Source organism: Homo sapiens, chromosome 7 (assembly GCF_000001405.40).
Source record: "Homo sapiens chromosome 7, GRCh38.p14 Primary Assembly".
NCBI lineage: Eukaryota > Metazoa > Chordata > Mammalia > Primates > Hominidae > Homo > Homo sapiens.
The window spans coordinates 1,172,482-1,182,594 of NC_000007.14; the positions used below are offsets into that span (position 1 = coordinate 1,172,482).

The 10,113-nt window shown below is 52.9% G+C and overlaps 2 annotated features.

Moving 5' to 3' along the window:
- Positions 4,683 to 4,732: a silencer, noted in NCBI's record as "silent region_17848". NCBI's record gives its function as "represses an Ori minimal core promoter by ATAC-STARR-seq in GM12878 lymphoblastoid cells {active_cell/tissue: GM12878}" and the evidence as "EXISTENCE:reporter gene assay evidence [ECO:0000049][PMID:35858748]".
- Positions 8,314 to 9,513: an enhancer, noted in NCBI's record as "CDK7 strongly-dependent group 2 enhancer chr7:1220431-1221630 (GRCh37/hg19 assembly coordinates)". NCBI's record gives its function as "activates an origin of replication core promoter dependent on BRD2, BRD4, P300/CBP, MED14 and CDK7 cofactors, with strong dependence on CDK7, by STARR-seq in HCT116 cells {active_cell/tissue: HCT116}" and the evidence as "EXISTENCE:reporter gene assay evidence [ECO:0000049][PMID:35650434]".

The following is a 10,113-nucleotide window of genomic DNA, read 5'->3' on the forward strand; positions in this document are numbered from 1 at the left end:
AGGAGGCCCCACTGCTCCTGTCCAGCCTCTACCCACTCTCTCAGGTGTCCATCACCTCCAGGAGGCTTTGCGCTCCTGTCCAGCCCCTCCCCACTCACTCAGGTGCTCATCACCCCCCGGAGGGTTCCCCCCCTCTGTCCAGGCCATCCCCGCTCTCTCAGGTGGTTGTTGCCCCCGGGGAGGGGCCCTGCTCCTCATCCAGCCCCTCCCACTCACTCAGGTGGTCATCTAGGGGCGAGGTAGACAAAGCCCAGGTACCGACGGCCTTTCCGTCCTCTCTGGTCCCTCTTGGCTGGAGTTCAGGCAGCTAGGTGGCTGGATTCTGTGTTAGGGTGTAGGACAGTGCTAGCCCGGGGTGGCGGGTGCCAGGTCCCTGACATTCCGGGTCTGAGCAGCTGGCAGGAGACTGGGGCAGGAGCCAGCAGTAGCTGCCCTCACCCACAGCACCAGGCTGGCCTGCGTGGGAATCAGAACCCACTGCCTGGTGCTCACAGAGAAGGAGTTTACTCTTCCCCCACCCCCAAAACTGAATGGATTTAATTAGCAGTTTGGGGTTCTCCCCTGTCACGGCTTTGGTCTAAGCTGATGAGGAAACCACAGACTCTCCCACTTTTGTACCCTTTCTTTGATGGGCAAGCGGACGCAGGCGCTGGAAGCCACGTGGCCTGAACCCGGCTCCTCTTGGGGCCTCCCGTGCAGGCCAAACTCCTTTTCTCTGATTGTTATATTATCCCAGAGAGGGCAGAATGGAGCTGGCCGAAAGCTTTTGAACATTGAGTCACGAGTGCAACGCAATGGAGGACTGCGGATATGAAATCTGACAGAGCTGCTGCCGCTGGCCATGCGGCGCCCAAGGGTGGGTGGGGTGTACTCTGTGGCTGTCCGTCATCAGCAGGAGACAGCTGCCCTCTGCCAGGTTGCCGGGGCCGAATTCTCCCTGGCTTCGGATGGCATGGTCCAGGTAGCTGGGGGTGGAAGATTCCGTCCCCTGGATCCACACAGTCACAGCACACTGTTGCCCACTGCATGGCAGCCTTGAGGCCGCCATCTCCTCTATCCTTGGCTCTCACACATGGGGCTCAATCCTGTCTCTTCTCTTTTTTTTGTTTTTTTGAGACGGAGTCTCACTCTTGTCGCCCAGGCTGGAGTGCAGTGGTGTCATCTCAGCTCACTGCAACCTCCGCCTCCCGGGTTCAAGTGATTATCCTGCCTCAGCTTCCCGAGTAGCTGGGATTACAGGCATCTGCCACCACACCCAGCTAATTTTTGTATTTTTAGTAGAGACGGGGTTTTGCCATGTTGGCCAGGCTGGTCTTGAACTCCTGACCTCGGGTGATCCACCCACCTTGGCCTCCCAAAGTGCTGGGATTGCAGGCGTGAGCCACCTCACCCGGTAAACCCCGTCTCTTCTCTAAGGACACATAGGCCCCAGTGTGCCTCCTGCTTCCCCTCCTCCTGCCACATCAGTAGCCATCCACTCTGCACGTCTCGGCGCCTCCCAGAAGCTTGCTCAGAGCACATTAGAAACGCCCGTGATGGAAATCCATTCCTGTTAGGTTTAAGCAGGAAAGAGGATGGCAGGTGCCAGGGTGGCTAAGTGGGCACATAAAGAACCCAGCGACACAGACTCGCAAACGTGACCAGACCCTAGAACCAGGGGAAGAGTGTGCCGTGAAGACAGGCACAAACAAGGCAAATGAGTAATTATGTGGCTGCAGCTTCCGCAGCAGAGCTCGATAAGCAGCGCTAAGCTTCCCCAGCCCCATCCATCCAGGGCCAGGAACCCGGGGGGGAGATGGGCCCGATGTGCCACATCCACACAAGCATTAAAATTGAGTCCCACAGGCACAGGACCCCATCCCTTCCCATTTTCCCTGACAGTCTCTTTCAGGGTAAAGGTATAGAACACAGTTAAGGTTTCTTACCTCCTTCCCCGCAATAATAATTGGCAGTTACTCAGCTCTCTGGGGTGTCGTAAGTAAGGGGCGCACGGGGAGACCAGGCTGCTATCATTAGGAAGTACTGATTTTAGCTGGACTGGACGCGTGTCAGCCAGGAGATGCAGTGAATAGAGTGAGGTGAGAGCACCCCCACTCCACACACCAATTTATTTTTTTTAATTTAAATTAATTTTTTTTTTTGAAACAGTCTTGCTCTGTCACCCAGGCTGAAGGGCAGTGGCACAATCTCGGCTCACTGTAACCTCCGCCTCCTGGGTTCAAGTGATTCTCCTGCCTCAGCCTCCTGAGTAGCTGGGATTACAGGCACATGTCACCACACCTGGCTAATTTTTGTATTTTTAGTAGAGACGGAGTCTCACCACGTTGGCCAGGCTGGTCTCGAACTCCTGACCTCAGGTGACCCACCTGCCTTGGCCTCCCAAAGTGCTGAGATTACAGGCGTGAGCGGCCGCGTCTGGGCCTTGTCCCTGTTTCAGCTAGTCCTCAATTAGGTCTAATGTCCAAGCCCCGCCTCTGGAGTCAAGTCCCCGCTCCCACCTCACTTCCAGGCCCCTGACAAAAGAGCCACGCCACCCGCCACCGCCCGTGGGCTGTGTGTGTTCTTACCGTGGGCCACTGTTCTTCCTACACAGAGGAGTGGACGGCCAGATGCGTGGCCTGAGGCTCTGGCCCGGAGATTTCTGTCCACAGTGTCTTTCAGGGCCACCTCTGAGTGGGCCTGTAACGTGGCAACAATCCACTTTCAGTGGGTGCTCAGTACTGAGCCAACCCACTTGCGAACCAAGGGCGGCTCTGTTCTTCCTCCGTCTGCTGGTCACCAAGTTCCCCTCCCATGACCGCAGGTGGGAACGGGCAGAAGGTACTGGCGTGGCAGTGGAGGGTGGTGTCCCCCCCGCACTCGGACCTGCTTGGGCCTGTCCCATGGACCCTTCCACTCGGAGCCCTGCGGCTGGGCTGCCTGGCCTGTGACTTGTTGGATCTGACGGGGTCCAGCTCAGAAGGGAAGCTCTTGCCACATAGTTGCTTCATGCCCCCTGGCCAGATAGTGCCCTGTTCCGTCTCCGCCAGGGCCAGACGGTTCCCTGCTGCAGGGGACATGGGGCAGGGGACACCTGGCCTTGCTGTGGAGCCTTGGGAATACAGTGTGTTCTCTGGTCGGGCTGTCATGAATTCCACACACGTCTTTTCCCACCCCAGCTACCCCTAGTGCCATGAGGGTCAGCAGGTGTGAGCCACCATGCCCAGCTAATTTCTGTCATTGTTTTTGTAGAGATGGGGTTTCGCCATGTTGGTCAGGCTGGTCTTGAACTCCTGTGTTCAAGCGATCCACCCGCCTTGGCCTCCCAAAGCACTGGGATTCCAGGTGTGAGCCACCACGCCCGGCCGGGACAAAATTTTAAACGCATGCTTTTGTCCTTCCGTGTGAACAGGAACTGCTTCTGATCTCCGTACTGACAGGGATGGGAAAAGGCCCTTTCCAGCTCAGCGGCCAACGTCGCATCCCTGAGGCCGTGTGCCTGCTCCGGGGAAGACGCCGTGCCTGTAGCCGTTTCGGGCTTTGACTTGGTGAGGTCTGCACCATCCTCGGTCGTATTTCATGACTGGTCTTGCTTTTTTGCAGGGGCCAGAATAATTATTTAAACGGGCATGGGATGGGGACCTCTGGATCTTTACAGCTGGCTCAAAGCCCTGCCCGTCTCCCAGGAACACATCATTGCTTTGATTTCTTATCTTGCAAGGGGAGCCGGGGCAGCAGGGGCTGCAGTTTCAGAGGCTTCTGCGTGGCCGTGTCCGCCAGGACAGCTTCCGGGACACCGAGAAACCCATGTGGGCGTTTTCCAGGTACCACGCGCGCCCTCCAGTGGTGGTTGCGGGAATGACGGCTGGTCGGGACCAGAAGACCCACTGGGCACCATGAGCGTTTCCTCCCTAAGCATTAACGGCAGCGTAGACCCCCGTCCAGCCGTCCCTGAAGTGTCCGGCATCTCCTTCGAGGGAGGCTGTAGGGTCCTCTCGTGCAAGGCCCAGGCGCATCGTGACAGCTTGCACGCGCTGTGGTTCGGGGAGGTCTTCCTGCAGGCACTGAGTCACAGGTCAAAGGCTGGCTCAGGTCAGGAAGCCAAGCAAAGCACCGAGACGTTGCCTTGCAGTGGCTTCCCGCCGCCCTCTGGTATCCATTGTTGACTTCTCTTGGTTCGATCTTTAAGTAATATTCTTGTTGGCTGTCTGTCTGTCCCCTAGGAATACCACGTTTTATGAACCATCTTCATAGCCGTCTGCAGCTCCCGCTTCCCCGTCACCACTCAGCCTGCTGCCCTCGCAAGGATTCCACCCACCTGGCTTCTGATGAGTCAGCACTACCACCTGACCCCAATTATTCTGGGGTCCCATGATTTTCATTGCTACTAGGGAAACCTTTCTAGAACCACGTCTTGTATCGTCTGCTCTGGCTTACAGAGGACAGACACTCCTGAGCCCCTTGACAGCACCGGTGCCCCCGGCCAGCCCATTCCTTGTTGATACCAGGTTGCATTCCCCTGGGCCCTCCTGTGCAACGTGGTTGGCTGGCGTTTTGGTTTTATTGTGTTTTCCCGCTGTATGTGGTATCTCCCTGTTAACTGCCCACTTCTCGGAGCCTTCTTTTTTTAAATTTTTTCTTATGGTAGAGACAGGATCTTGCTCTGTTGCCCAGGCTGGAGTGCAGTGGCATCATTACAGCTCGTCACACCGAGGAACCCATGTGGGCGTTTTCCAGTTACCACGCGCGCCCTCCAGCGGTGTTTGCGGGAATGACGGCTGGTCGGGACCAGAAGACCTACCGGGCACGAGGAAGCTTTCCTCCCTGAGCATCAACCGCAGCCTAGACGCCCGTCCAGCCGTCCCTGAAGTGTCCAGCATCCCTTTCCAGCTTTATGTGGTATCTCCCTGTTAGATGCCCACTTCCTGGAGCCTTCTTTTTTAAAATTTTAAATTTTAGAGACAGGATCTTGCTCTGTTGCCCAGGCTGGAATGCAGTGGTATCATCACAGCTCACTGCAGCCTCGAACTCCTGGCCTTAAACGACCCTCCTGCTTCTGCTTCCTGAGTAGCTGGGATTACAGGTGCACCCCACCGTGCCCAGCCAATTTTGTTTTTTAGTTTTTGTAGAGATGGGGTCTTGCTATGTTGCCCAGGCTGGTCTTGAACTCCTGGGCTCAAATGATCCTCCTGCCTCAGCCTCCCAAAGTGCTGGGATTACAGGTGTGAGCCACTGCACCCAGCCAGATCATTTCTTTTCTTTTTCTTTTCTTTTCTTTTTTTTTTTTTTTTTGAGACGGAGTCTCACTGTTTCGAGGCCAGGCTGGAGTGGTGCAGTGGTGTGACCAGGGTGCAATCTGGGCTCACTGCAACCTCTGCCTCCCAGGTTCAAACAACTCTCCTGCCTCAGTCTCCCAAGTAGCTGAGATTACAGGTGCCCACTACCACGCCGCTAATTTTTTGTATTTTTAGTAGAGATGGGGTTTCACCATATTGGCCAGACTGGTCTCGAACTCCCAACCTCATGTGATCCACCTGCCTTGGTCTAACAAAGTGCTGGGGTTACAGGTGTGAGCCACTGCACCCGGCCTCATTTCTTTTTATTGTCAGATAATATTTCCCCAGACGGATGGGCCACACTTTGCTTATCCATTCAACATTTCCCTCTTGAAGGTCACCTTGGTTGCTTCCAAATTTGAACAATGGTGAATAAAACTGCTACAAACATTCACATGCAGGTTTTTGTGTGAATATATGTTTTCAACTCATTTGGGTAGATTCTAAGAGGCACAATTGCCGGATCTGATGGCAAGAATATGTTTAGATCCGTAAGAAAACACCCAAGTGTCATTCTCACAGCCATGATGAGAATTCCTGTTGCTCCACGTCCTCACCAGCATTTGGTGATGTCGGTGTCTGGATTTTGGTCATTCTAACAGCGGTGTGGTGGTTTCTACATTGTCGTTTTCATTGGCAGTTCCCTAAAGACATAAGATGTTGAGCATCTTTCCATATACTTATTTGCCCTCTGTATATCTTCTTTGGCATCTGATACCCTTTATAAGGTCCAACTTATCAATCTTTTATAGATTATGTTTTTGGTGTGGTATCTAAAAATTCATTGCCAAGCCAGGCGTGGTGGCGTGTGCCTGCAGTCCCAGCCACTGGGGAGGCTGAGGAGGGAGGATTGCTTGAGTCCAGGAGTTGGAGAACAGCCTGGGTAATGTAGCAAGACTCCATCTCAAATAATAATAATAAAGATGATAAAAACTCATTGCCAAACCCAGGGTTACCTTGATTTTCTCCTATGTAATCTTCCGGAAGTTTTATAGCTTTGCATTTTATAATCAAGTGATTTTAAGTAATGATCCATTTTTGAGTTAATTTTTGTGAAAGGTGTAAAGCCTGTGTCTATATATATGTATATGTATATATATACACACATATATACTTAATTTAATTTAATTTAATTTTGAGATGAAGTCTCACACCGTCACCCAGGCTGGAGTGCAGTGGCACGATCTTGGCTCACTGCAACATCCACCTCCTGGGTTCAAGCGATTCTCCTGCCTCAGCCTCCCAAGTAGCTGGGACTACAGGTACACGCCACCATGCCCGGCTAATTAAAAAAAACTTTTTTTGTAGAGATTGGGTATCACTGTGTTGCCCAGGCTGGTCTTGAACTCCTGACCTCAAGTGATCCTCCTGCCTCAGCCTCCCACAGTGCTGGGATCACAGGCGTGAGCCACCGAGGCTGGCCTAGATTCTTTTTTTTTTCTTTTTGTATATGCATGTTCACTTGTCCCAGCACCATGTGTTGAAAAGACGATTCTTCCTTCATTACGTTTCCTTTGCTCCTTTGTCAAGGCTCGGCGGACGGTATTCGTGTGGCCAATTTCTGTGCTCTCCCTTCTGTTCCATTGATCTATTTGTGTTCTTTCACCGATATCACTGTCTTGATTATTGTAGCTTCATGTTAAGTCTTGAAGTCAGATGTTATTAAAAGCCTTAAAAATGGTTTCCCTGCACCTGCTAGGGGTTATCAGAATGTAATCCACAACCACTGGTGATGGGTGCTGGTGGCCAGCCTTGATACTGGCTGGCAGGGGCCCGGCTCTAAGCCTCCCCTGCAGAGTGTACTTGCTGGGACCGCTCCTGGCACTGACTGCTGTAGGTTGGGTTCCCTGGAAACAGACTCAGACGGATCATCGCGTGCAGGGGCCTACTGAGGGGTGCATTCGAGGACAGCACCTGGAAGGCCCTGCAGGAAGCTGGGGGGCAGAGGGTGAAGCTGAAATGCAATCCAGTGGGCCGGGCATGGTAGCTCACACCTGTAATCCCAGCACTTTGGGAGGCCAAGGTGGACAGATCACCTGAGGTCAGCAGTTCGAGATCAGCCTAGCCAACATGGCAAAACCCCGTCTGTACTAAAAATACAAAAAAAAAATTAGCTGGTCTTGGTGGTGTGCACCTATAATCCCAGCTACTTGGGAGGCTGAGGCAGGAGAATCACTTGAACCCAGGAGGCAGAGGTTGCTGTGAGTTGAGATCGCGCCACTGAACTCCAGCCTGGGCGACAGAGTGAGACTCTGTCTCAAAAAAGGAACACAATCCAGTGGCATCCTGAGGGCACCCAGGGGCTCTGGAGCTGGGATGTCCCTTCACCATAGTCCCAAATTGAGGCCAAGGGGCTGGGCATCGTCCCTGCATCTCGTAATGATTCCGTGAGACCCTGGGTGCGGAGGCCCCTTTGGCGGAGGGAAGTTCCCTTGCAGAGACAGGCAGCTAGGGGAATAAGCACCTCCGTTTTGCAGGGCTCTGGATGGTGGACTCCAGCACCCACTACCCGCTTCAGATCTCAGCCGAATCTCACTCATCAGAGAAGCTGTCTGCGTTGACAGATGCGGCTCGAGGTTAAGTGGTCCACCCGGGCCGCCTCACGGTTGGGAGGCCTTTTAAGCCAACCTCAAAATCTGGAGGCCTGTCTCACCGTGCAGGGTGCTGATAATGGAGAATTTAAAATTTAATCTATATGTTAAGATACTGTTGGTTTCTTGCCTAACGAGAGAGTGAGACGGGGAGAGAACACTCCGAGTTACCTGAAGGGCTTTCTGTGGCTAAGCTGGTCTCCGGACCCCCGCGAGCCAGAATCCCTTCCTGCCTGGTGCTCTAGCCAGAGGCGGTCATATTGTCAACAATCACATTTTCAGGAAAAGATTTGAATTCCTTAATCAAGCAAGGACAAAGGCTAAGAGACGAACGGTCAATATTAATAGAAGCAAGGATTAGAAATTAGTTGGTGGCTTAACTGATATTTTTAGAATCCACTAGAAAGGGATAAGGAATCTAAAAACAGGAGCGTGGTAAATGCTACATAATTCAGCACCGGATCACGGTTAGCTTAATGTCCTTTGTAAAGAAACGATTACAAATTATGTGGGAGGACTTAGCTGTAAAACTGCTGGAAAAGCAGAATTTGATCAGAGACAGGCAGCCTAGATTTATGAGAAGAAACAGGCCCGTGCGTCGCGTTGGAGATTTTAAAAGATATTATATTTATGACAGACAATGAGGGTGCTTTGTGTGGCCTACATCTGTGAAGAATTTGCTAATACCGGACTTAGAGATTTATTCTGAAGGTAAGTAGTGGGAACAGAGGTAAGAAGAAATCCCGCACCTCCAAAGCCCCACGTCTCCTTCAGGCAGGTGCCCTTTGAACGACACTGGAGGCAAAGCGAGAACGGTCCGTGGGTCGTCTCCCGTGCCGTCCACTCAGCCCAGCACGGCGGGGGGCCTGGTCACGGATTCCTATGCGTGTGAGTGGTGGATTAATCTCGTTTCACCAACACCTGGTCACACAGGAAGCCGGGGCAGTGAGGAACGGCTCCGACATGATGTCGAAATGACCCTCCTCACCCTTTCTTTTCAGTGGAGACAGCAGGGATTTCTGTGTCTTGTAGAGTCCTTGAGGAAGCCGTAGGCCACGGAAGTGTCTGGTCTCAGGCGGTCCTTTGAGAGGCAGCTGGTGAACGTCCCCCAAGGAGACAGAGCCTCTGGGGACAACAGGGGCTTTCATCTGGGAGCAGTGAGGACCCCCGAGGGGGCGTGGCAGGGAGGGGGCAGGACTGCTCAACTGGGCGGCTCCACGGGGCTGTGGGGCCTGGAGGCAGGCAGGCAGGTAGGGCAGGGCCCGAAGGAAAGCGGTATGGGGGCCCGAGGCTTACAGAGCCAGTGCTCAGCGGTTCCCGGAGCAACTCAGGGCCCAGCAGGCGGAACTGAAGGGAGCCACGATCAGGAAGAGGCAGGAACGTCCCCTCCCACCACCCCATCAGGCCTCAAACTGGGAGTCCCCGCTAGAGCAAAAAGACCGGAAAAGGAAATCACCAGTATACAGATTGGGAAGGAAGAAATAAAACTTCTTTGTTCACAAATGACGTGATTGCAGAAAATCCTACAGAATCCAAAAAGGAAAAGAAAAGAAAAACACAATTTTTGGAACTCATGAGCAAATGTAGGGTACAAGGTTATGAAACAAAAGTCAGTTGCTTTCCTATACATCGGTGACACACAGCATTTGAAATTAAAGACAGGCCGGGTGCGGTGGCTCATGCCTGTAATCCCAGCACTTTGGGAAGCCGAGGCAGGTGGATCACCTGAGGTCAGGAATTCAAGACTGGGCTGGGCAACATGGTGAAACCCCGTCTCTACTAAAAATACAAAAATTAGCCAGGTGTGGTAGTGCGTACCTGCAGTCTCAGCTACTCGGGAGGCTGAGGCAGGAGAATCACTTGAAACCGGGAGGGGCAAAGTGGGCAAGGGATATGAAGAGACATTTTTCAAAAGAAGGCAAACAAATGGCCAAAAGGTATATGAATGATGCTCAGCATCACTAATCATCAGAGAAACTCAAATTGAAACCACAAGGCCAGGTGTGGTGGCTCATGCCTGTAATCCCAGCACTTTGGGAGGCTGAGGCGGGTGGATCACCTGAGGCCAGGAGTTCGAGACCAGCCTGGGCAACATGGTGACGCCCCATCTCTACTAAAAATACAAAAATTAGCCAGGCATGGTGGCGGGCGCCTGTAATCCCAGCTACTTGGGAGGCTGAGGCAGGAGAATTGCTTGAACCCAGGAG